The sequence below is a fragment of the Homo sapiens genome, chromosome 2, assembly GCF_000001405.40.
Source record: "Homo sapiens chromosome 2, GRCh38.p14 Primary Assembly".
NCBI lineage: Eukaryota > Metazoa > Chordata > Mammalia > Primates > Hominidae > Homo > Homo sapiens.
In genome coordinates this window covers 31,054,520-31,081,889 of record NC_000002.12, presented here as the reverse complement: position 1 = coordinate 31,081,889, position 27,370 = coordinate 31,054,520, and the positions used below count along the sequence as shown (strand labels likewise).

The following is a 27,370-nucleotide window of genomic DNA, read 5'->3' as shown; positions in this document are numbered from 1 at the left end:
ATCAAATTGATTCAAATCATGATTTGAATCACTAGTCAGGAAGAGTCGATTAAATCAATAGTTTTCCTTCAAAACTGCATTCATTTTTGATATAATTTTAATGCACAGTCTTCACAACTCTGACAGAGATAGATGTGGTTTTCATTTTTAGAAGTTACATACCATGCATTTTTAAGCTATGATTTATTTTGACATTTCATTGAATCAATTTTGCAGCCACGTCTGAGTCTTGAGTGGTGACTAGGTTATTTTATTTACCAAAGCTAATCAAACAAATGTGTATAATTTTCCCAACAAAATAAACATGTGCACTTTGGAATGTTTAACTATTTTTTGCTGTAAGTGTAAAAATGTGTTTTTGCTGAGATAAATTGAACTGTTTGAGACAGGTCCAACCCAAAACACTTGTAATATTATATTTTGGAGTTAACTCAGTCTTTACCCTTTCCTTCCTGCTTATTTTTATGTTAGAAAAGAAAGGTAAGCTTTTCAACTTTTGTAGTTCCGAAATGATTTCCAAGTTTAGACTGAATCAGTCTCCTTTGGAAAACATTCTTGCTATGTGTAGAGAAGAAATAGCTGTAATGACAAACTTGATATTTATCTTCATTATTGCCATGAATCCATATACTTGACTTCTGCCGGCTATTGGTATGACCTTCACGAGGCCTTATCCTTATCTTTCATGATTAACTGAGCTTTACCATTTCTGAAACAGATTCTCTTCACTGGGATCCACTGGGTTTTATTTTCGGAAAGTATTCTCACAGCAACAATGCATTTGAAATGAGATATTGTCTTAGATAAGGATGTGTTAGGGAGGGGCATGCTTCTCTTCCATCTTATCAGCCTCAGAATGTTTGGGAGGAACCCCTTACATCTTGAGGCCAAATAAAAATCTTGAGTTTATGATTTTACCTCCATCCTTTCTGAGCATGTTTCTGGCTCAGCCCTATGACATCATTTCTTAGAACGTGGCCACATATATTCTGTATCTGCCAGAAAATTTAGTATCTGCATCTTTCAAGCTGAAACAAGTGTCTTCCAGTTTTGTATTCCTAGGATCTAGAACGTAAGTGCATTTCCCCTATTCACATAGTTCTAATTGAATAGAATCATGACATTAGGGTTTAATAGAACCCAGTGATTTCCAAGTTCCATCCTCAAACTAACCCTTTCATGTAAAAATGAAGTGACTTGCACAGGTCACAAAGCCTGGGATGAGAAACCACGTCATCTGAGACTCCCAGAACAGGGGGTTTTCTTTAATAAGTCATCCTGAATTTAGATTTCTTCTCTTCATCTTCCTCTCTGCAAAGTAGTGATTTGTTTTTAAAGAAAACTGTTCTCCATATACAAACATCTAACTATTACTCATTTACAGCTGACCTTTGTTGGACTTGTACAGGGCTGCACTTAGAGTCTAAGAATGGAATGGACACCACTTAGTTCTAGCAGGGATGTTAGATTTAACAAATAAAAATAGAGTACACCCAGTTGAACTGGAATTTCAACAAAACAACAAATAATTTTAGTATGACTTGTGATATTTGGGACACACTAAAAAATTATTCATTACATATCTAAAATGGAAATTTAATCAGTGTCCTGTATTTTATCTGATAACCTTATTCTCCCCATTATTCAGGGTAATGTGTTTGGTTTGGTTTTTCTTGCTGACCTAAGGTGCTGAGTATCAGTCCAATTTTCAGGTGGCCAGACCCACTTGAGTTACTGTTTTCACTGCATATTCTGCTTTTCTTTGTCCTGTTTCATTTAAACTCTTTTTGGTCAAAGCTCTGATTTTGCCCCATGCACTGTTTTCATTGATGTGTATCACTGCATCCCTTTGAGTGGGCATCCTCATGTTTGCAGGGCTCATGCCTGCCTAAGCCAAACTATTTGGGCACCAGGTTGCAGGGGACTGGCTAAATGCAGGACTGCTGGAAGCCAGAGCAGTTCCCTGAGTGTCCAGCCCTTGCCTTCCCTGGGAGCAGCAGGAGGGTCCGGTGCCTGGGAAGTGACCACCAGAGGGAGTAGCCACAGTAGGGGCTGAGCTACGTGAGCCACACTCTGCCCAGAATGGGGGACCCGTGTTGGGTTGTAGGACCGTACATGACTAAGGAAGCCCGTGGGGTGCTCTTATCTGATACCACCACTTTGTGTTGTGCCAGACCCCTTTTAACCTCAACAGGGATGACACCATGTTCAAGAGGCTGAAGAGGAGACCCAGAGCCAACACATGAGACGTAGGGTTTTATTAGCAGGAGGGCAACTTACAGGGAGGTCTGGTGGCAGCAGGCTGGGCAGGAGAATCATAACCACTTGCAAAAAGCATGCTGTTCAACTACCGTTTTGACTTAGCACCCTTCCCTTAACAACCTCCACCTGGCAGCCTTCATTTAACCCCAAACACAGGGCCTTGATCTCCCGTACAGCCTGAGTTTCTCAGGACAGTCCGAGGGCTCAGCTCTTCCTCAGAGGTAAGGAGTGAATCTCCGGGTTGGCCACCCCCAGATTTCTTAGCTCAGAACTCTGAACACACATTCAGGTGCATCTTCCAAACAGGGTCATTCTCAGGGTACGTCCTGACGCTGTCAGGTGCATCTGCCATACAGCGAGTGAATGGAAGCCTCACCCAGAAGCCATCATCCCTAGAAGCATGGCTTCCTAATAGGAGGAGAATCCTTCTTGTCCAGCCAACTTCCACACTGATGTGGAGCCTGGGCAATAGCACTGGGTTCAAACAAGCTGGTGTCCCAAAGGTGTGGTCACCTATGCCAAATATCATCATATGCATTTTCATGTATTTATGTTTTCTAGAATTGAAAACAGTTTGCAGCTGACACCTGAGCCTACCCATTTCGTTCTGAATGCAATTTCAGCAGCCCACTGTAGCTCCCCTGCTCTCCCTCCCAGGCATGGAACAGCCATGGCCCAAGATGAGTCGTGTCCAGTGAGTCAGAACTGAATTTGTAGTCCTTTGCTCTCCTGGTCCCCAAACCCTGCTTTGCCCTACTTTCCCCTGCTCTCCTGTGCCTGGGTTCTCCCAGGCCTATATCTCGCCCCTTGCCTTCATCTTGTGTGCCTGTGCTGTTCTCGGATGCTGCCTGCTTGCCTGCTTTTCAGCCTGCAGTCTCACCATGCAATCTAGCTTCTGAATGTTTGCCTTGCCCTGTCCTGAGCATGCGGTGTGGCCCCGGGGCCTGAGAGCTCCCTGATTCTGGTACTTCTGTAGGGCTAGCCTCAAGACAGCTCACATCAGCCAGGCACAGCACAAGGTGAATGGGATTGATTTGATCTGGCTCCAAGGAGTGGGAAGAGAAACCTTTAGAAGGCCAAATCTACCTAGGATTGCTTTGATGAAAAATTCAGACTTAGATCCTTTATTCTATAAGCCACTTAGTTGGCTTTAACTCTGAGGACAATTTTCTGGTAGCCTTTAAAACAATAATAGGGTTTTCTTATCAATCTGTGTTCCTTTAATAAGGGGAAGGCCCATTAAGAGGGGGTCGGGGGCCTGACCAGGTGAACTTATGATCGTCTAATGTTGTCCAACCTCATTAACATTTTCACAGCCTTGCTAAAACTTGAAAGTTGTCCAGTAGGATCATTACCATTCAAGTTTTCTCCTCCTAATGAGCCTGAATTTTCCCTGCCATAGCTTATGCCTGATACTTTTCAGCTGTTGTCCCTATTGACTAATGAACATAATTGGTCCCGGGCTATTTTCCAGCCTGCTCCTTTCAGAACCTGCACTGTCTCCACTGGAGCCAGTCTCTTCTCAAGATCACCTTTGCCTCTTTCCATTTTGTCCTGCATTTTCACCTCTGGCACATAGCAATGTCCTCAGCTTCTGACTTAAGCTGTTTTCTTCCGACTTGCTCTAGCCTCTTGGCCTGGCCTGGTCTCACTCTGTCATTAAGTTAGGCTCCACAACTCTATTTTGTAACCTACTATACATTCCTCTGTGGACACAACATGATAAATCTTGATCAGGTGCCTCAGCCAACCCATAATAGCCTTTTAACCTAGACTGTGACTGAAAAGCTATGCACACGCAATGGAAACTGGGAAGTGATGTGGCTACCTTGCTAATTAAGGAATGACGCCCAAAGGTGATAGAATTGAGTGAGAAATATGTGTATTTTCCTGGTGCTCAGGGAAAAGTTGGTTTAATTAGAGACAGATAAGGAGGTAAATGAAGATTTCTGGGGATTCCGAAAGGGGACTTCTGGGTACTTTCAATGTCATTATTGAATGATAAAACTGTTTATCATTTAAAATTTCATTTTGCAACCTAAGCTTTCATTTGCCCTGATAAAGGGGCTCATAGACTTATCAGATGAGACTAGTATCTTTGGAGGTTTGTAGCAGCAGTGAAGATGGGGAAAGAAATATTTAGAGAGAGGATAAAATATTTCCTGGGGTAATTGAAGGGAAAAGGACAGAATTTAAAGAGGGAGACAGATGTTAAAATGGAGAGAAAGAAACTGCTGGAGATGGTAGGAGTTGAGTTGTGAATGGTAAAAGATGGGTGTGTATATTAGATTTCATAAGTTCCTTGAGGAATGTAGGTAAAAAGAAATAATGGGAAGATTTGTAGCTTGTAATTAAGACAAGATCCTTTAAAATAGGACTCTCCTTCATTGGAATACTCACTTCTGTGACCTTGGGCTTGTCGTTTATCCTAACCTCTTTGTACCTGTTTTACTTATCTGTAAAGTGGGTCTAAAAATGCCCACTGCTTAGCACTGTGAGAAACAAATGGGGTGATGTTTGTAATAGCGTAGCACATTTTCTGCAGAATCCAATAAACAGAAGCTGCAATTATTATAAGGATTGTTACTATACTAATATAAATAGCAACAGTAATCATTACTTTCTCTACCACATCTACAATCAGTGCTGTTGTCATGAGGGATGGAGTGGCATTGTGCAAAATTCAGCACTTGTACAAGGCACTGGAAAGCTGAGCGTCCCTAACTTTGGGGCTTATGATCATCTAGCTATGGTGATCTTAAGTCCTGGTTCATCTTGGCTAGTATGAGTTTACACCTGTTGTCCAAGAGCAGTGCCTTTCTTTATTCTTAAAAGTGTTCCAGTTTGGGTGACAAATCATATCATTCCCTACCTTTGATATTTACTGTCTAAATCAGTAAGACAGTATTATTGCATTATTCATAGTTTCCAATTTTTTCAAATGGATTGAGTTTCTTGAGGCCACTAAATGTATATGTACATGTAAAAAAAAAAAAAATATATATATATATATATGTATACACACCCCTATCTAGTGCTCCTTTTGCGTTTGCAATAGGAATTAAATAGGACTTACCCCATGGAAATGTTGGTGACCTCATCCTCCAGTGGCCATTTCTGTAGGACCTGTTCCTTGCCACTGTTTGCTGATTGATACAGGCTTCTCACAGAAAAGGGATCTCCAGAGGATGGTGGTCTCAGAGCGGGGGTGGAGACAGGAGCAGAGTTGGTTCTGAAGTGTGGAGCTGTGGATGAGACATTGGGTGGCATCCTTGCCTGGCACTTAGGAGCTACGTCCTCTTGGGCCAGTCACTGAACTTCTCTGAGCCTTAGTTTCTTCGTACAGAGAATATGAGTCATAGAATAGACCTTGAAGACTTGTTAGAAGGATTGTATTGTGTGGTGCATGGTGGGTACTCAATAAATGGGAGGAGACTTGAGTAGGACAACTCACTAAATATTTGTGGGCAGCATCATGTCCTGGCCTCCTTCCTACTCAACTCTTTTCTCCAGTTCTTCCAGCTGTTATCTATACACAGTGGTTTCCAAGACTGCTGGTCATCTGTGTCTGCTCGAGTTAAGACAGCTTCTGACCAGGTAGACGGATAGGTTGATTCATTCAGTCTAGAAGTGTTCATTGAAGTAGGTGTCAGGCACTGTGCTCAGGGAATTCTCTGCCAAACAACCAGATGCAGCCTCTGCTCTTGTGGGACTTGGGACTGTCGGAGTTGTTTGTAGTGTGCTTTAGAGAGATTTCTTTCCCTAACTCACGAATGTGTCTGTAGAACTTCCCAGAGTCGCAAAGCCCAGCATGGGGGAAGGGTCTTCTTACAGTGGGCTTTGAACTTCCTGCCTGCCTCAAAGTGAAATCATGTTATTGAGATGGAATATGTGTGATTCAATCATCAATTCAGCAGTGAAAGGAAAAGCAGCAGCCTGGCAGTCCTGGTGGAGTAAATCATCCCGTGAGCACGGAGGAGCAGTGGTCCCTAATAGCTCTTGTAAACACGCTGTCACTCTCAGAGCTGGGCGTAGGCCAGCTGAGCCTCTTCCTGCTGTGCCTCTCTATTTCTCAGAAATGCTGCCATGTCCAGCTGTGACACACATTCTGCATCATTCAAGAAACACTTTTCAAGCCGATCTCCAGGACGCAGAGATTGTTTCTGATTGCTTCCAGATCAATCAACAAACCTTTTAGGAGCAGCTTCTAGGTGGGTGGAGGCTCAAAGATGCAGGAGACACATTTGCATATGAAAGATGTGTGCTAGTTTGCTTTTGCTTTTCTCTAAAGGAATACCTGAGACTGGGCACTTTATAAAGGAAAGAGGTTTAATTGGCTCAAGGTTCTGCAGGGTATACAGGAAATGTGGTGCTGGCATCTACTTCAGGCGAGGACCTCAGGAAACTTCCAATCATGGCAGAAGGCAAAGGGGAAGCAGGCATCTCACGTGCTCTGTTCACAGAGCAGGAGCAAAGAGAACAGAGGGTGTGCCACACTCTTTTAAACAACCAGATCTTGTGTGAACTCAGAGCGAGAGCTCACTCTCATCACAAGGACAGCACCAAGTCATTCGTGAGGGATCCGCTCCCAGGACCTGAACACCTCCCACCAGGCCCCACCTCCAACACTGGGGATTACATTTCAACATGAGATTTGGAGGGGACAAATATCCCAACCATATTAAGATCCATGGGCAAAACCACAGTCACATCCTAGATCCTGTTGCCATGGGTTGAGGACAGCATGGCCCCAGTTTTCCTATTCTTCTCAGTATCCATGGCCTTTACAGTCTGAGTCAAGAGAGTCAGTGTCTCTACCTCTTAAGTCTGGGCTGACTGTGATTTGCTTTGGCCAATAGAATATTGTAGAAGTGATAATATGACAATTCTGAGTCTGGGTTCCAAGAGGGCTCGCATGAGTGTTCTCTCTCTCCCTCTCTCTCTTTTTTCTCTATGTCTCCCTCTTAGAACTCTACCACTGCCTAAGAACAAGTATAGTAGCCACTACTGCAGGATGAAAGATTGTGTGTAGCAGGGCCTAGACTTCCCAGCTGAGACCATCCTGAACCAGTTAGCCCCAGGCAGACCTGTAAGCTGCCCACAGACAGCATGAGTGAGCCCAGCCCAGATCAACCCGCCCAGCCCAGGTCAGCAGAATCCCAAGCTTACCCAGAGATGTGAGAAATAAAAAACAGTGGTGGTTTTAAGCAAAAAAAAAAATCCCCCAAAGATGCACGGGGGCTGTTGAACCCCTGTGTGCCTAGCGCTGCATATGGACTGTCACTGGCACTCACAGCAGCTGCCCTTTGTTAGCTCCATTTCACAGATGAGGAAGCCAAAGCTTGGGATGTCAAGTGACTTCTCCAAGGTCAGGCAGCTCAGAGTGGGACCCATCAGGGCTGACTCTGCAGGCCGTGTGCTTTGCTTGGTGCTGTGTGCTTGGCACCGTCTCCCTGGCACCGTCTCCCTTCAGTCTGTGTCTTCTCCTGGGCAGTGAGCTGTAGTCCTCTATTTCCTACTTCCTCTGCACCATGGGGCCATTTCTCATCCACATTTACCTCTTCTAACTCCTCAACTCACAGGCAGCTGTTGGCAGTGTAAAACCCCATTTAATTATTACTATGCACAGAGAACTCAGGGCCCAAATAAATATACAGGTAGACAGGTAGCCAGCCTGGTCTAAGGCAGAGGCCCTGTGTGGCAATGGAAGGAGAGCGTTCTGTTCCTCCCCTTAGCACAGCTGCCACCATCTTCTCTCACTTGGACCATCCAGCGGTCTGTAACGGTGTCCTTTTAGTCTTTTGCCCACAGAGGCTAATGATATTTTAAAATGTGAATCCAAGTCAAACTCCAAGTCACAACCCTCCAGTGGCTGTTTGCCACACTTACAATAAAATGTATAGTCCTCATCAAGGACTCCAAAGCCATATATGAGCTGACATCTCCTTCCCTGCCACCCTGACCTCATCTCTTTTCTTCTTTCTTTCACTTTCCTGCCCCAGTCCCGCCGGCCCCTAGCTGGTCCTTAAACCCACAGCATGTCTCAGGCCTTTGCAGTTGTTTTCCCTCCAGGAAGCTGCATGATTACCCTATTTAGAGGAGGCTTCTCTTGCATCGTTCCCCAAATGCTGTTCCCCCCCCCTCTTTATTCCCCAAATTTAATTTTTGTCATAGTAGAGATTATTTATCGACTGATATGTCCATCTCTTCCACTAGAATGCAAGGTCCACAAGGGCAAAATCTTTGTTTTTTTGACTATTCTATTTCCCATGTCTAGAACAATATCTGCATATAGTCAACATGCAACAAATATTTATATTTAAGTCTCATGTCTATAACTAACATGTTTTGAGTGCATATCATATGCCAGGCATAGGGCAAAGTTATTTCTATTATCTAAACCTCACAAAAATCCCACAGAGTGAGTCCCTTTTCATATTCCCATTTTGCAGACGAGGACCCTGGAGCACTGATCCTACATATCTCGCTCAAGATCACGCAGCTGGTTAGCGTTGGAGCTGGGGGTGTTTGAGTCCAGATTGGAAGCCCTTACGTACTATCCCAGGTGACCACTTGCTGCCATCACTCAAGCAGTGCAGGGAGGAGTTCTCCCTGTAAAGATTGCCTGTGCCCTAAAGTTCCTAGTATTTCCCCTGAACTTTGATTCTTTGCCTGTTGACATCTTCTGTGCATCTAACACTCAACTGTTTAAGAGCAAAAACCAATTTATCATTATGTGTAAAAAATGCAGGGCTCAAAGAAGGCACAAGTAGACAATCAGCAAGCCCAGAGCAAGGCAGAGAAGTCACATGTCATGGAAGGAGCACTGGGGTGGCAGTCTTACGGACTGAGCCACCCTGTCTGGCACATCTCTGCTTGGTGCCCTAGTCTGCATAGTTCTCATCTCTTACCTCCTGTCTAGAAGGCTTCGAGGGAAGTCACTTTGTCCCTGTCCACTGAGATGAGGGATCCTATAGGAGAGATGCCTGTGTCACATTTGGAATTGGACTTAGTTGTCCTCTAGGTCTCCTTCACCTGCAGGAGTTCCAGGTTGTAAGGCAGTAAGTCTAGTAAGGAAGAGGCAAAGGAAGGCAGAATTTTCCAAGCAAACCACAGTAAGGGGCTGTGAAACAGAAAGGAAATGAGAGAAGGAAAGATATAGGGCAGAAAGAGGATGAAAGAGAGGAGAGGTCAGGCGAAGGTGAAAATGAAAGAGAGGAAGAAAGCAATGAGGGAACAAAAGAAAAAAAAAGAGAGCAAGAGAGACAAAAATTTTGACCTGTGTATCTCTGCACGTCCGCATGCGTGTGTGTGTGTGTGTGTATGTGTGTGTGTGTGTGTGTGTATGTGTGTGTGTGTGTGTGAGAGAGAGAGAAAAGAGAGGAGACATACACACAGTGGAGGAAGTTGACTGGATGCCAGGAAGACAACCAAGCTCCTTCTGCCCTCGCCCTCCACCTCTGCACCCCACAGCAGAGGGAAGATGGTGCCTTCCACCCTTCCATCTTGAAATGCTCCTTTTTGCTCTGGGTTCTCCATGTTCTTCCACGTGTCTCTAGCACATCTCCCTTTCTGACTCCTCCCCATGCCCTCTTCTCTTTTCTCCCACACGTGGGTGGCCCCCACCCTGCAGCCTCACTGTCTCCTGGGCACCGTCTCCACTGGTGGTTGCTAAGTCAGCATCTCCAGGCCGCTTTCTGGGTGTGTGGCTGCGCAGTTGCATGGGGGCCTGCTCTTGGTTTCATGCTCTGTTGTTGCTGTCTTGAAATTCTTAATGACTTCTGAGCAAGAATCCTGCATTTTCATTTTGCACTTAGCCTTATAAACTCTGCAGTCCGTCCTGCCCCAGAGCCCAGAAACCCACTGTTGGGTCTGAAGGAACAGAGAGCTGTCAGAATCCAGAGGCAGGCAGGGGCCAGAGGAAGGGAGGCTCAGACGAGAAGGAAGAGCTGCAGAGCACCTTAGAAACCGGGGGGCAGATTCCTGGGACCAGGTGAGCCAGGTCATCAGGCAGGGCAGGAGAGGTAGGCCCGGGACACACAGTGACAGAACTCACAGTGCCTCCACCACTTTGGGTCTGGCTGTGTGGAGCCCTGCCTGTCTGTCTAGGTGGGCAGGGAAAGGGGCTGGGACAGTTGGAGCTCATGTTACTTGACACCAGTTTCTGAATGAGGTTTTTCCATCCACCCTTGATTTCAGCTCCTAATTGCTCTCCTCAAAGTCACTGGCTCTCCATTATCCTCTGGATGCTCTGATGTCCTCCGGACTTTGTTCAAAAAAGAGCTGGAAAAGGTCAAGTCCAGGAGGAACTCAGACTCTTACTAGGCACATGTTTGGTTGACCCTGGTTCTACTTTCTCTTTTAAAAAAAATTTTTATTTCCACAGGTTTTGGGGGAACTGGTGGTATCTGGTTCCATGAGTAAGTTCTTTAGTGGTGATTTGTGAGATGTTGGTGAACCCATCACCCAAGCAGTACACACTGAACCCAGTTTGTAGTCTTTTATCCCTTACCCTCTTCCCAGCCTTTCCCCGAGTCCCCAAAGTCCATTCTGTCATTTTTCTGCCTTTGTATCCTCACAGCTTAGCTCCCACTTATGAGTGAGAACATATGATATTTGGTTTTCCATTTCTGAGTTACTTCACTTAGAATGATCCCGTGTAATCTACAATCCCATGACCCTGGTTCTACTTTCATTTTTTCCAAGCCTGAGGAGGCCCTGGTCCCTGTTTGCTAACAGAGACCAGACAGTGCTTATTGCTCCTGCAAGCACAGTGCCTGTCCCTGGGTAGGGCCAGCCTCTCTGCATCCTTTAAACGTCAAATTACTCAAACTTCCAAATTTTCCAGTTTGCAATTGGACAAAGGATTTTGGATCATCCCACCAATGCAATGATTTGGGCATGTGGCTACACGCTGGAATTTGGATGAACCTGAAGAAAAATTCAGACTTTAGGAGGCAAGATTTTGCATTAAAATTGGAAGTGCAGTTCACAGCATTGCCCTTGTTTGTTTCGGCTGTGCTGGCTCCTGGCTGTCAGCTGCCTCCCCTTGGGCACGCCGATAAATTGCTGCCGAGCATTTTTCAGGCTGGGAGAAAATGGATGAGTCACAGGGTTTGGGGAGCCTAAGTGCAAGCTTGTTTGAGTTCAGTGTAAAATGGGCAGGTTTCAGAAGGAGGTGGTGTTCAGGTGAGGGACACACCCAGAGGTCTCTCAGCATCTCTGTTCCTGAGGACAGGACAGCCTAGGCAAGACCCAGATGGTGTGGCCATGTCTAGGTTTCTTCCAGAGGAACAATGGGACCTACGTGGTCCCCTTTCTAACACCAAAACTGATCTCTTATGTTTATGGGCTCCTTTCTGGAAGCTGGGTGAGTGCCAGGTCCTGACTGAACTTAGGAAGGCACTTTGTGAATGAGTAGATGGTGGAATAGCCCGTGGTCAACCTGGGAAGAAGTCCTTGGTCGAGGGATCCCACTGTATGCCCTGCCATGAGGTAGTGAGCTTCCTGGGACATCACTCCAGTGGTGGCTTCTGGCTTCTTCTCTTTTCTCCCAGAGGTACTTGGAGGATGCTCCATGGGACTCGGAGGGTGGGGGTAAGCGGACACAGGAAGGATTGTGACTTTGCCCCCGGTTGATTAAGCCATCCTCCTCCTCTTCTCTCGGTCCAGGCCAGCTTTGATGCATTTCTTTCCTTTCTGTCTCAGTGCCTGCTTCTCACTGAGCAAGACAGTTCATCACCCCATCGAGATGGAGGAGACAAATGACAGCAGTAACGTGAACTGAGCAGGATTAGATAAAACCAAAGAGCTATCACACACAACAGTGGACAGTCATTTAAAAGGAAATCCATCTCGTTGTTGCCCAAGGCCTCTTGGGAAGAAAAAGACATCTTTCTATTGCGAGTTCAGCTTTTACTTTTGGGTGTCAAGCCTCCAGGAAGCTCAGGCCCTGCTGCTCCGGGGAGGTTGTGATCCTGAGTTGCCATAAATGAAGGCTCCTGGGGTCAGGGTTAAAAGGGAAGGCTGGAGACAGACTGCATGTGTTTAAATCCCAGGGTGCCGGCACTCAGGGTCTGCCCATCCCTGGGTAAAGTATCACATTCATTCAACCTCTCAGAGACTCCATTTCTTCATTTGTAAAATGGGGATTATAACAGTGTTTCCTTCCTAGGGCTATTGTGAAGAATAACTGGGGAAATACAAGCAAAGTGCTTACTACGTAACAGGGATGCAATAAATGATAAATACAGCGATTAGAGGGCAGATTCAGACTGTCTAACCTGTGTGTACACAAGTACACTCTCACAAACACAGAATGTCACCTTCCTTAAGTGGCCTTGTGGTAAATAACTAGAATGTTTAATGCTGTTCCTGAGATCTTAGCTTCCTCCCTGTCCCTCTCTATAGAAGAAAGATAAAGGTGGCGATCCCATCTTTTTATTTTTTAAAATAGCTTTTTTGAGATATAATCTACATACCATACAGTCTACCCATATGACAAGTAAAGATCAATGGTTTTAGTGTATTCTCAGGGTTATACAACAAGCACATAATCTAATTTTAGAACATCTTTGACCTCCAAAAGAAACCCTGCACCATTAGCATTCAATTCCCATGCCCCACCCCGCTCCAGGTGACCACTAATCCACTAATCTGCTTTCTGTCTCCACACATTTGCCTATTCTGGACATTTCATATAAATAGAATCATACAATACGTGGCCTCTTGCGGCTGGCCTCTTTCATTTACCATGATGTTCTCAAGGTTCATCTGTGCTGTAGCACGTGCCAGTACTTTCTTCCTTTTTATTAGCAAATATTATTCCATTGTATGGATATGCTGGCTTTGTTTACCCATTCATCAGCTGAGGGACATTTGTTTTGTTTCTGCTTTATTATTAGTCCTCCAGCCTCATCTTAAACACCTAGGGGCCCCATTGTTGCCCTGTCTGCACGGGGCAGTGGTGAGCTGCTCTGTTCAGAAAGGTTATCCCAGAACTGTCTCTAGTGTGGCTTCTTTGCAGGGGGAGGTAGAACAGGAGTAGCTCTGCACTATTCAAAATGCATTTGCTATTAGTTATGGACCTTTCTTTTCTTTTCTTTTTTTTTTTTTTTTTTGAGACGGGGTCTTGCTTTGTCACCCAGCTGGAGTAGAGTGGCGTGATCTCTGGAGTGCAGTGGCGCAATCTGGGCTCACTGCAACCTTCGCCTGCTGGGTTCAAGCTATTCTGGTGCCTCAGCCTCCTGAATAGCTGGGATTACAGGCGTGTACCACCCCACGTGGCTAATTTTTGTATTTTTAGTAGAGACGGGGTTTCGCCATGTTGGCCACGCTGGTCTCAAACTCCTGGCCCCAAGTGATCCACCTGCCTTGGCCTCCCAAAGTGCTGGGATTACAGATGTGAACCATTGCACCCAGCCAATTATGGACCTTTTTAAGTCTACAGCTGCCTTCTCTCAGAAGCAACTGGAACATAGGGGTCTGCTGGTCTGGGCTCCAGGGTTCTGACCAGAGTTTCCAGTTTTGGGAGTGGACTTGGAATCCCTTTCTGGGCAGGGCTTGGGGAAAGGATAAGAGTCTGTCTTGAGGCAGGAGGAAGGGGTGGCTCCTGAGCTTTGTTTCAGGTACAGAGAAAGAGAGTCAAGGCCCACACGAAGGAAGAGCAGGTTCCAGAATGAGGGGCCCAAGTCCCCAGCCTTCCTGCCTGCTCCTCCCCAAGACTGTAGGTCACAGGAGGAGTAACGGTGTGCATGCCCAGACTACCTGACTCGCCTTAGCCACTGAGTGACTTAAGTCCCTGAGCCCTTCTGAGCCTTAATCCTTGTCTGGAAAATGGGGTGAGACATGCCCATTTTATAACATTTTAATGAAAATTAAGTGAGCTGATAGTGGTAGAAGCAGAGCGCTGTATGGAAGTGACAGAGGTTTATTTTTGCTGTGCAAGTTGGCTCCAACTCTTAAGTCCTCCCTCTGCTAGAGGGGTAGGCTCTCCTGTCTTTGAAACTGGGTAAACTGAGGCATGGAAAGCCACCTCAGTCATGGAGCTACCATGGGCAGAGCCAGGGACCCTATTTTACAGCAGACCTAATGTCCTGAGCAGACCCTGCTTTCCTGAGTGAGTGCACCCTCTGCCGGCACAAAACCGGCTCAGAAGAGGATGCTCAAAGTCTGCAAAGTCCGGGGATGTCGTGAAGACAGCCTGAGTCTCTCGGTGACCCCTGTGCCTCTGCACTCAGCACGGCATTCCCAGACTCTCAGGGCTTCTCTAGGGTAACGAGGGGCACTCATCTTCTCTTTGGCCCCCGTGGGGACATGGACCCCTTGCTCCTGGGCTCACTGCATGGCTGGAAGTTCAGAGGTTCCTGCTGCCATTCCTCTCTGCAGCACAGAGCACTGAGACTGACTATGGGAATCTCCTGTTTGGCCCCCTGCCCTTGCCTATGTGACAAATAAGGGGACCAAGGCCAGGGAGGCTGGGTGATGGGGAGAGAGGACCCTGGGCTGGCGGGAGGTAATGGCAGGGCAGATACTATGGTCACTGAGGGATGATGATGCCAAGACTGCTGGGGGAAGGAAAAGGAGACTTTTGGCTGAGGAAGGCTGTCCTGGTCCCACTGTGTCACTGGTGTTACAGAGGGTAGGGAAAGGCTGATGTCCAGGCCCCTGGGCAATGTCGGGGTGAGGTAGGTGGGTGTGCAGCAGCCTGCCCCTTTCCCAGCTTGGCTGGGTCTGGAAATTGCATTTTCCACAGCCTGGGCAGCTTTCTATGTGACTAGATTTCTCCTTTCTGTTTCTGGAGGGCAGCCCAGCTCAGGAGGCTGGCATTGTGTGGCACCGTGGGAGCAGGCTGGCCTTGGTGGGGGGTGGGGGGTGCTCTCAGTGGTGGCAGTGTTGGCCTGGGCGGGCATCTCTGTGCACCTGCAGCTGAGCCCTGGGGGCTGCCTGCTCTGTGCTCCGGCTCTTCACAGAAACCAATATTTGCAGTCAGGTTTATCTTTCCACTGGGATCCTGGGGATGATGATGTTTTGGCCGAGATGTACTTCGTGTCCAACTCCTGTCAGCATTTCTGAGGGAAGAGTGCTCATTAAAGGCTTCCCTGCACGGCCCCTCCCTGCTCACTGGGCCTGAGTGACATAAATAAGCCCCTTGTTTCTTTTTCACGAGCAAACCCAGACCCTTAAAGATGGCTGGACACCACCCCCCCGCCCCCCGCCCCCGCACCCTTTCGCAGCTGCTGGAGTCTCCGGTGGTGTGGGTGAGTAATGGCCCTGTCGAGGCCCAGCCTCACTCCTCTGGCTTCTGACAGGCACCTGGGTGCTCTACAGCTGGGAGGCTGCTAGGAATTCTTCATCGGTCTCCCTTAATGGTAATGCCCTGGCCTCTGGGGGGGCCTACAACCAGCTCAGCTGAGGAGCCGATGCAAAGCATGGAACAGCAAGCACACTCAGAATGTAACCTCCATGGGATGGAAAGGGGCAACAGGGCCATGAAAAAGGGCCCTGTCATGTATGCCTCCTCCTCTGGGCACCTACAGCTATGATCTCATCTCTCTCACATATCAGCCCTGTAGGCGAGGTAAGGTAAGAATCAGAGAAGTTGAGCCACTTGCTCTAGGTCACACAGGTAGGAAGAGGGTGGGGCGGGGATTGGAATCCTGACTCGAAGGCCTGTACTCTTGTTACTGTGCCCTACTGTCTTCCCATGGGTTAAGTTTTTGGATGGTCTCTGGGGGATACTTAGGTAAGTCACAAGGCATGAATATATTCTGAGCTGGAACTCAAACCCAGGTCTGCCTCTTGACTTCTGCTGGGCTCTTCATTCTCCTCAGACACCCGGCAGGAGGGATTTGTAGGAGGGTTAGTTATGGTCTATCTCAAGGTCAGAGGCTCCCCAGCACGATTTGAATGTGATGCCTTCCATAGTGCTTCAAGTCACACATAACTTTTTCAATACAGTCTGCAAATCTGAGGCCCTGCCGGACCATCATCAAGTTGACCAGGCAGGAAGGTGTGCAGCAGCAGCATCTGCCCATTCCAAGGCCCTCCTCCTGGCCTCTTGCTGGCCCTGACTCCCCTCCCCAGCATGATGCCATCTGCTCATGATCTTGTCTGCTCATCTTTGCCAGGCACTAAGCTGCGTGCTGTACCTGTAGCATTTAATTTGCCTTAATTCTTACCACTTTCCTGAAAGGTATTCTCCCCGTTTTTCTGATGCAGAAAATGGATCTCTGAGAGCGCTACTGACTTGTCCAAGTTCACATCACTGTTCCATCAGTGGAGGGACTGGGACAGACCCACAGGAGTGCTTTTTCCACCATCATCTCAGCCCTCAGTAGAGCAGGAGTGAGGAAGCGGGAGGCTTGAGGCAAGAGTGTGAAACATCAGACATCACCTTTGCCCTCAGGGCTCTGGAGACCTCAAGCATCCACATAATATTTAAAATAATAAAACCAATGAGTAGACAATAAAGGACCAAGATGGATATCTGGGCTGTATATTCTGTGGGTGAACAGAGCTGGGAGGTCTTCTGGGCTGATCTGGAGAGAAGAGACCAGTTTGGGGCCTGCTTCTGGCCACTCCTCCATCTCCCCCACTTTTCATCACCCAAGGAGAAGCTCAGCCAGCCTGAAAGTGTGAGCGCTTCATCTGCCAGCAAGGAGGGAGGAGACAAATCACTTTAAACGTGCGAAGAGTTTTTTTTACCACTCTTTCCCTTCTCATCTTTGTTTATTCTGGAGATCAATACAGACAATGGGAAAGTTATTCCCAGGAGAAGACCTGGCTATGTAGTTTTAAAATATACTTACTCCTTCTTCCCCAGTCCCCTTCACCTTCCCCTATTGGATTTATTGAGAGCAGAGCCATTTCCGAGAAGCAATGTCAGGTAGTGGTGTTTGGATGGTGAGCTATGACTGTTGTCTATCTCAGGTGCACTTGTGTCTGGCGAGATCCAATAGGATGATCTCACTTCTGCCAGCCCAGCCGAAATCAGCGATATATTTGTGTTGTATATTTTGGCCTGTGAACATCCACTCTTGGGTATTCTATAAATGGAATAATCTAAGGGAATTAGAATAGATGTTCATTTTCAAATGTTTCCTCCAGTGGAGTCCCTTTAGTTAAATTTAGTCCCCAGATATGAACTGGGTAAAAGTGGAGTTCCTTTGGTTTTCGGGGACAGGGTTTGGGACAACACAACCACAGACTCCAGGCCTCTGAGGGAGGTCTGGAAAGCACTGGGATAGTTGACTGGAAGGCAGTTTCTAGATCTAATATTTTAAAAATTTACCATCTTATATTATTCTCCTCAGTTTTGTGTCTGTGACTGGACTTTCCTGGGAGCCAGTGACAGCTGCGTGGGCAGAGACATTCTTTTACATTTAAGTTGTGTGCCTGCACACAGTAGGAACACAATAGCAGATTTATACCCAGTTGAATTTCAGTCTCTATCCCTACTCAAATCAAGCATTTGCAGCAGCTTGTCTGGGAGAGAGAGCCAATAGCCACCAGTCTAGATGTGATGTCTACTCTGCATGCTCTTGGAGCCAAACATGAGCCTTGCTGTCTCTCCTTCTTTGCCATCTGCAAAAGCAAACTCTCTGCCCAACAGGATGAAATGAGAATCAAATCCTTATTTGGAAGTCCCCTCTGTAGGGCTGCCTTCTCAAATCTTTTCCATCCAGGCAAAATTATATACCTAGGTACTACCAGGGAGAAATGCAATTCATTTTCAAGAATTTATTGAAACTTACACGAATAATAGACAAGCAGAGAGCCAAATCATGAGTGAACTCCCATTCAGAATTGCTACAAAGAGAATAGAATACCTCGGAATACAACTTACAAGGGACATTAAGGACCTCTTCAAGGAGAACTACAAACCACTGCTCAAGGAAATAAGAGGAAACAAACAAACGGAAAAACATTCCATGCTCATAGATAGGAAGAATCAATATCGTGAAAGTGGCCATACTGCCCAAAGTAATTAATAGATTCAATGCAATTCCCATCAAGCTACTATTGATTTTCTTCACAGAATTAGAAAAAACTACTTTACATTTCATATGGAACCAAAAAGGAGCCCATATAGCCAAATCAATCCTAAGCAAAAAGTACAAAGCTGGAGGCGTCACACTACCTGACTTCAAACTATACTACAAGATTACAGTAACCAAATCAGCATGGTACCGGCACCAAAACAAATATATAGACCAATGGAACAGAATAGAGGCCACGTAAATAACACCACACATCCACAACCATCTGATGTTTGACAAACCTGACAAAAACAAGCAAAGGGGAAAGGATTCCCTATTTGATAAATGGTGCTGGGAAAACTGGTTAGCCATATGCAGAAAACAGAAACTGGACCCCTTCCTTACACCTTATACAAAAATTAACTCAAGGTGGATTAAAGACTTAAACATGAAACCTAAAACCATAAAAACCCTAGAAGAAAATCTAGGCAATACCATTCAGGACATAGGCATGGGCAAAGACTTCATGACTAAAACACCAAAAGCAATTGCAACAAAAGCCAAAATTAACAAATGGATCTAATCCTAAAGAGCTTCTGCACAGCAAAAGAAACTATCATCAGAGTGAACAGACAACCTACAGAATGGGAGAAAATTTTTTCAATCTATCCATCTGACAAAGGTCTAATATCCAGAATCTACAAGGAACGTAAGCAAATTTACAAGAGTAAAACCAAACAACCCTATCAAAAAGTGGGTGAAGAATATGAACAGACACTTCTCAGCAAAAGACATTTATGTGGCCAACAAACAAATGAAAAAAAGCTCATCATCACTGGTCATTAAAGAAATGCAAATCAAAACCACCATGAGATACCATCTCATTCCAGTTAGAATGGCAATCATTAAAAAGTCATGAAACAACAGATACTGGAGAGGATGTGGAGAAATAGGAACACTTTTACACTGTTGATGGGAGTGGAAATTAGTTCAACCATTGTGGAAGACAGTGTGACGATTCCTCAAGGATCTAGAAATAGAAATACCATTTGACCCAGCAATCCCTTTACTGGGTATATACCCAAAAGATTATAAATCATTCTACTATAAAGACACATGCACATGTATGTTTACTGCAGCACTATTTGCAATAGCAAAGACTTGGAACCAACCCAAATGCCCATCAATGATAGACTGGATAAAGAAAATGTGGCACATATACGCCATGGAATACTATGAAGCCATAAAAAAGAATAAGCTCATGTTCTTTGTAAGAACATTGATGAAGCTGGAAACCATCATTCTCAGTAAACTAACAGGAACAGAAAACCAAACACCACATGTTCTCAGTCATAAGTGGGAGTTGAAAAATGAGAACACGTGGACACAGGGAGGGGAACATCACACACTGGGGTCTGTCGGGAGGTGGGGGTCAAAGGGAGGGAGAGCATTAGGACAAATACCTAATGCATGCGGTGCTTAAAACTTAGATGATGGGTTAATAGGTGCAGCAAACCACCATGGCACATGTATACCTATGTAACAAACTTGCACGCTCTGCACATGTATCCCAGAACTTAAAGTAAAATAAAAAAAATTAGTATGACTTGATTCCAAAAACAACAACCACAACAAAAAGAATTTATTGAAACTGTTTTAGGCACTATATTAAATGCCGGGGTATGAATACATGTAAACTGTGATCCTGTCTTCAAGGGTTATTCAGTGCTCATGGTAGCAGTAGGCACCTGGGGGAGGATGGGAGGGTTATAAGATGTGGTAATGAGTTCTCAGCAGGTGGAGGATAGACTGCAAGGACTTTATTCTGAAAAGGGCAAGGAACTAAGTTTAAAGGATGAGGAATAATGGAAAGAACATACTCGGCAGGGGAAATAGCATGAGCCAACACTTGCAGGCATTGCTGAGCCTACCTTTTTTCTTGAGGTTGCACAGTGGTCTGGGGGTACTTGGAGTATCAGGTTTCTTAGGGAAAGTACCTGGAGGTGATAGTGGTCAGAGAGTTTGGAGACCAAGTGGGAAAGGGCATATGAGCTACAGGATGATGAGTTTGTTTCCACAAAATTTATGGTCATTGTTCAGTTTTAGGAAATTTATGGTCATTGTTTGGTTTTAGGAAGATCACTCTGATAGTATTTTTGAGACTGCATGTTGGAGTGAGGAAAAAGGGGGCTCAGTTGTCTTTGGGAGTGATCGTGGGAAGCCAGACTGTGGTGGCATGATTTTATTTTAAATGAGAGAGAGGAAGAGGGGGTGAATGCCAGAGATTTTGGAAGTAAAATTAATAAACCTATAACAGATTTGATGGTCGAGAAAGAGAAATTAAGGAAGAGGCCATATTTCTGGTTTGAGAAGCTGGATGGAGACAGGAACTTGCTTGCTGTTGAAATTGGAGTTGGGTGGAGAATGAGCACCTTGGTTATGGGAGGTGGAGATGAGGTTGTAGATGAGTTGAGTTTGAGGCATCTATAGGTCATCCAAATGGGATGTCTGGTAAGGGGTTGAGCTCAGGAAGAAGGCCAGGTTCATGGGTGGTAGCTGACTGCCTGGCTGTGGCTGGATGATCCAGGGATCACTTGAATGGCAGAAGAGAAACACCAACAATGAAAAAGGAAAGAGAAGGGAAGATCAGGAATGCAGAAGGAAGAACTAGAGGAAGTCCTGCCTTCTGTTCAAAGCCTCCTAGGAAGAAAGTGTGCCAATCAGAAAGCAGCCTCCGTCAGTCCTGTGGCCATAGAAGCCCATCACACTGCTGTGTCCTGGGGCTTCCCTAGAAAAGTCCTGGCTGGGTGGAGCACTGGCAAGATGAAGGACAATGCAAAAGAGAGCCAGGTGGTTCTGCAGAATTGGCTGTCTTCGGGCCCCTCACTGGCTTCCCTTGGAGAGAGGTGACCTGCTGGGCCCCAAGCACCGGAACTGATAGAGCTGTTTAATTTAAACACATCACCCCAGCTGCACCATGGCTGGGCCCCTGGTGTCATGTTGACAGCCGCTAGCCGATTAAAGGTGCAGCTAGACTGGCGGGGCACAGTTCTGAGGAGCTGCTATTACAGCATTTATTAGCAGGACTGTAGTTAATGGTTAGCAAATGTTTTATGAACAGGTTCCCCATGGTCTGTGAAGGCTGATTCAGTCTATTCAGAATGGAATTGCCTTCCCCTATTAAGCTTAGGAGTGTATAATCAGTTCTTTCCCTCCGCTGAAGGATTTTCCCTGTGGCAGGAGTGGGACATTGGCCCTGTTTAAGTTAAATAGGGCTTGTTCTGAAGAAAGTCCTTGGTGGTAGGCTTGTGTGTGTCCAGGGATCTTATGTGGATTTTTGGCAAAGTGGAGACCACAGTGACTTGTTCCTTTTGGGTGGAGATAGTCTGGAAAACTGAATGGTCACAATAGATTCTGCTCAGCCTGGCAGAGAAAACCATGACCTGGGACCTCCTTGGTTCCGGTCCTGGCTGGGGTACTGGTTTCCTCCTCACCCTGGGCAGGCTATGCAACCTTCCTGCCTTTGGTCTCTTCACCTGTCGAGTACAGCTAATAACATCTTTCTTCCTCTCAGCTGATTATAGGAATTAATGACTGTGAAATGTATCTAGTGCAGGGAGCGGAAAGGGATTGAGATGGTGTAAATACTAAACATTCAAGGAGAGTTGGGAATTCCCATTGAAAGAGTAGGGGAAATATAATTTGGCATTGTTTTAGTCTGCTTGGACTGCTATAACAAAATGTGTAAACTAGGTGGGTTCTAAACAGCAGAAGTACTGCTCACAGTTATGAAGGCTGGGAAGTCCAAGATCAAGCAGTCAGTGTCCGGTGAGGACCTGCTTTCTGGCTCATACACAGAGCCTTCTTGCTGTGTCTTCACATGGCAGAAGGGGTGAGGGGCCTCTCTTGGGCCTCTTTATCATTTTTATTTTTAATTTTTTTAAATACAGTGTCTTGCTCTGTTGCCTAGGCTGGAGTGCAGTGGCACAATCATGGCTCACTGTAGCCTCAAACTCCTGGGCTCAAGCAATCCTCCTGCTCAGCCTCTCAAGTAGCTGGGACTCAAGGCATGTGCCACCATGCCCAGCTCTCTTGGGCCTCTCTTATAAGGGCACTAATCTCATTCATAAGGTTCCTCCCCCATGACCTAAGGCCCCACCTCCTCGTACCATCTCTTTGGGGGTTAGGATTTCTATATATGAATTTTAGGGGGACACAGATGTTCAGATCATAGTGTTCATTAGCCATATATTTGATATCAAATTGAATTCCTGAGAGTATTTATTCAGGATAAGTAACAGTTTAGGATGGATACATAAAGCATTGACTATTTCTATTAGAAATAGAAATGGGCTGTGATTTCTGTTCTTAATTCAAGGAGAACTAATACTGTTTTTTCATTAATGACAAATGGGCAAGGAGGGTAGAGCCACAAGACTGGCTTACTTTTCCCTATAAAACCAAGGCTTAAGAAATATTGTCCCTTGGGAAATCAGGGGGTTCAGCTTTTCAACCCTCCAACTTGTGCTTAAACAGATGTTTCTTTTATCTGTGTGCTTTTTACTGAAATTATTTTCACTAAATTACACATTGAAACCACAGACACTCAATGGCTGGTAGGCAGATGACCGTATCTCTTCAATGCCTTTTCTGTTTCTCAGTGGAAGGGCCTCTCTAGCCTAAAACTACTGAAGGGCAGGGTTTTGGTTGAGCCATTTGTATCTGCTATCTTACATCTTCTATTGAAAAAGAATTTGAGATATTGCTTAGAAAACTTGAGAACTCAGCCTGGTTCTCGTATTTGGCAGATAATTGACTTTGGACAATTCTCTTAATGTCTCCGAACTTTGTCTCATCCAAAAAAAATAAGTAGTGTAATAAGGCCCACATTATAATGTTGTGGAGATGTCATGGGACGTTGTGTATGAAAGGTCTGTGCATGTGCCAGATGTGGGGATTCTTGGCCAGAGTGGAAAAGGAGGTAAATGAGTAAATCTAGCAGTACCATCTAGTGCCCTGAGCCCACATGGCTTCTCTCTCTCTCCTGAGGTCAACCTGACGTCTTCCTTTCTTCTTCTGGGGAGTGGCCCACTGACTGCTGAGTGCTTCTGTGGGCAGAGGTCTTGGAGTCCTTAGTCCACCCAAAGACCTTCCCTAGATGATTCTGACCCTGATGATCAAAGGATGTCCTAGGTGTGTTTACTAAGAATAAACTGCAGAGCAGCCTGTTCTCAGAGCCCAGCACCTGCCTGCAATGAAAGCAGACTCACCGAGAACGCCCTTACCAGGCACCCTGCTCTCCGCTTGACGCACACTGTCCCACCTAATTCGCCCAGCCCAGCCCGCTGGGAGGTGGGTGCCGTGGTTCCCTTCCCACGGGTCAGGGGCTGAGGCTCAGAGAGGTGAAATGACTTGCTCAATGTTATATAGCTAGTGAAGAGTTGTGCCAGTGGGATACCTGTAGGAAACAGCTGTTGCAGGCAGTGGGTGTGACTGAGGGGACTTTCATGGAAAGGACTTTTTTGAAAGCTCTCTTGGCAAAGGTAAGGGAATATGCTCAGGGACTAACACCAGCAGGAAGCAGTTACCACCTAGGGCTGAGGGGCAGGGCAGGGAATAGTGTTACTGGTGGAGGGAGCTACCCTGGAGCCCTGGCAGAGGTCCCCGACAGGAGCTGTAACTACCAGGGTGCGGTGTTGAGCAGGAGGTGAGGAGTAAATGCCTAGTCTTTCTTTCCTCCCTCCTGAAGGTCTCCTGCAGGTGCCTCCAACCAGCTGAGGCTCAACCCAACCCTAAGCCAGAGGGCTGAGAGGCCAGGGGATGGGTTAGTAGTGCTCAGCTTCCCAGGCTCAGGGCGGGGTGGAAAAGGTCAGAGAGAATGTATGGGGGAAGGGGCCAAGGGAGCATAGCCATCATGCAGACCTAAGCCTGACAGCAGACAACATTGGGCCCATTGCCATCTCACTAAGCTGAGTTAGTGTTATCCACTTTCAGATAGAGTGTAGTTGCCACATGGTGATTTCAGGCTGGATGAATAAAAACAGTAAAGCACCTGATCATTGTTCCTCCGGGTGACTGTGAGAAGGGCTGTTGCCTTTCATGTGGTCCTAGAGCCAGGCCTGGTGCCGTAGCTGCCAAGTTGAGTCTCCCAGGCTTGGCCCAGCTTTACATTTACACAAGGTATATATATATATATACCTGCAACAGCCGTGTGTGTGTGTATATATATATATATATACCTGCAACAGCTGTGTATATATATATATATATATACACACACACACACACACACACACACATATATATACGTGTATATATAATATATAATTTTATATATATATATATATATATATAATTTCAACTTTTTAGATTCATAGGGCACATGTGCAGGTTTGCTGCATGGAGTATATTGTGTGATGGTGAGGTTTGGGATACAAATGATTCCATCACCCAGGTAATGAGCATAGTACCGAATAGTTAGTTTTTCAACCCTTGTCCCCTCCCTCCTTCTCCTGTCTAGTAGTAGTCCCCAGTGTCTATTGTTGCTGTCTTTGTATCCATGAGTACCCAGTGTTTAGCTCCCACTTATCAGTGAGAACATGCAGATTTGATTTTCTGTTCCCGTGTTAATTCGCTGAGGTTAATGGCCTCCAGCTGCACCCATGTGGCTGCAAAGGACATGATTTCATTCTTTTTATGGCTGTGTAGTATTCCGTAGTGTATATGTACCACATTTTCTTTGTTCAATCCATTGTTGATGGGCACCTAAGTTGATTCCATGTGTTTGCGATCGTGTGTAGTGTTGCAAGTATTTTGAAATGCTGTTTTTATCATGTCACTACCTTGAAACTGCAGCAGTTAGACCTGCTGCTAGATCTTGTTTAATGCATCAGTGAAGAAACACTTGTATCACTATATCACGAGTTTAAAAAATATTTTGAAATACCCGATTTCAATATAATTTGTGTCCTTTATAATACTATGCATCTTGTTTTTTGCATTTATAAGTGCTATTCTGAGAAGGGATGTAAAGGCCTCCCCATGGCAGGTGCACACGAAAGACCCAGAACCCCTGGGCTGGATGATTTTAGACCCTGGTACATTGATCTGAATCATAGGTACTAGATTGTGGTGAGTGATGGCTCAGTGATCTGGGTCATAATGTCTGGCCAGTGGCTTCCCATGCCCTGAGGCTGAGGATCTTGGACCAACCTCCAGGAGTACGCCTGAGATGGTTTTTGGCTCTTTCTGCATCTGGATTTACTGATCTAAATATTGATCCTTTCTCATGACCACACTTCTGAGGCAAGTGTCCCGAGAAAGGAGAGTGGGGACAGATGAGCCCGAACCTACCAAACGGACAATGGTAAACCAGAAGATGATCACCTTCAACTTGGCATTTTCTCAAAGTGGGACCCACTCATCATCACCTGCCTACTTTGGAATCACTTGGGAAGCTTCTTAGAATGTAGGCTCCCACAGTGTCCCCCTCAGTCCTGCTGAGTCAGCATTTTGGGAGCAGGGCCTGGGGATCTGCATTTCATGAGCCTCTTGGGTGATTTGGGGCACACGGATGTTTGAGAACCAGAACCACTGCTGTAGATTCCCTGTGCCCCTGGGACTTTTAATTTGACTCGAAGTTTGAAGTTTTAATTGAATTTTAAACAACATACCTAATTTTCTAAACCAAGTTGCACGCTGGTTGGATTGAAAGAATGCAAGTGGGGAGAATCATTGCTATTAGCGCTGTCTAGGTCTCTTCTTGCTCCTGTTCAGCATAACTAGAGGTCCTATTGTTAGGCTGAGCTGTGGCTGCTGTCCTCTCTGGTTGGGCTACTTTTCATAAGAGAAATAAAGCAGCCAGTCACCGTACTAGCAGGGTCTTTCTCCCACTGCCCTGGAAGGCAGGAGAAGTAACGTTTCCACTGTTCAGTCCTTTTCAAGTGGTTACTCTAGGGATCCGTTGCCAAGGACTGGCCAGTGGGGATCCTCTCTCCTTTCAGTGAGCCTGCTCAAAGCCCTCTCCTTATAACAGGGGGCTCCTTCCAGGACCCAGTGCCCTAGTTGGATCAGTGGCACAGACACTCGGTAGCAGGGGCACACCAGAGCTCAGAGATTAGATAACAGCATAACAGCCCCTTTGGCCTCCAGTAACTGGAGTCCCAGTTGACCTGGACTGTTCTATTTTTCCCCTGAAGTTTTGCATTCCAAGGCCAGTCATTTGATCAAGTGAAATGACAAGGCTGTGGTTTTATATAGTGCCTTTAATTGAAGCGTTTAAAGTGCTATTCAAAGGTCAGAACTTCCAAAGGGATAAGTGCCCATGCCATTTATGTTCTTTAAAATATTAGGATAAATGAAAAGCAGTATGCTGGCGCCCCACTGATGGGTTTACACTTTCCAGATCTTCATTAGTGCTTCTGAAGATTGCCAGCATTAAATGGATGATCCATTTGAGAGCAGCGAGCCTGCAGATACACAGTATCTGTGCTGCGAATAATAATTCCAGCTTTCGTTTAAATTGCTCTTTCTCTAGAGCATGATTTCTTTTATGAGCAATATTTTTATGGCCTAGTCACATCCTCCTTTGTTCAGATGGTTTAATGCACTGAACTCTGGCCCGGGTTTCCTCTGTATGACCTCAAGCCTCAGCCTAGCCACCCAGGAAATAGGAAGCTATTCCCAGTCTCTTCTCTCCCATGAGAACCCTTTAGTTCTTTATATATTTTGCTCCGTGGTTTCCTGTGTTGAAAGATGTTACCCACTAAATAAATGGCTCTGATGTTATGATGCTTTTGTTTTTCCACTTTTAATAATCAAAATATATTTTCTAATTACAGTTTCTGATTAGCATGGGGACCGGTAATGCTGAGTTGATATCATTCCAGTCAAAGGCAAAGAAATGTGACATTTTGTTTCTCCTGTGGGACTTTATCAAGGATAAGCAAACAAATGAAGCCTGTTAGGCTTTGGAATATATTGAAAATAGCTTGCAGTGACCTGTTATGACATTCAAGGGCCCCTAGAGGTTGGGAACTACAGGGTTAGTGTTCTTTCTGTTCATTCACTTGTTTATTCATTTGTGCAGCAAAGTTGAATGGGGTAGGCGCTATGCTGGGTTCTGGGGT

General features: G+C 45.7%; 1 protein-coding gene across 13 annotated transcripts in view; it reads left to right on the top strand.

The window, feature by feature from the left end:
- The window catches only part of GALNT14 (polypeptide N-acetylgalactosaminyltransferase 14), a 251,659-nt gene that overhangs the window by 56,551 nt on the left and 167,738 nt on the right, over positions 1-27,370 (top strand). For 5 of the 13 annotated variants that reach the window (NM_001329095.2, XR_001738943.2, XR_001738941.2 and 2 more), the window contains one exon: positions 2,824-2,956. The exons of the other annotated variants lie outside the window; for them this stretch is intronic. In NM_001329095.2, the coding sequence (NP_001316024.1) occupies positions 2,933-2,956 (24 nt within the window). In that variant the 5' untranslated portion in view covers positions 2,824-2,932. Of the gene's footprint in view, positions 1-2,823; positions 2,957-27,370 lie in introns of those variants that run through there. 13 annotated transcript variants of the gene reach the window in all.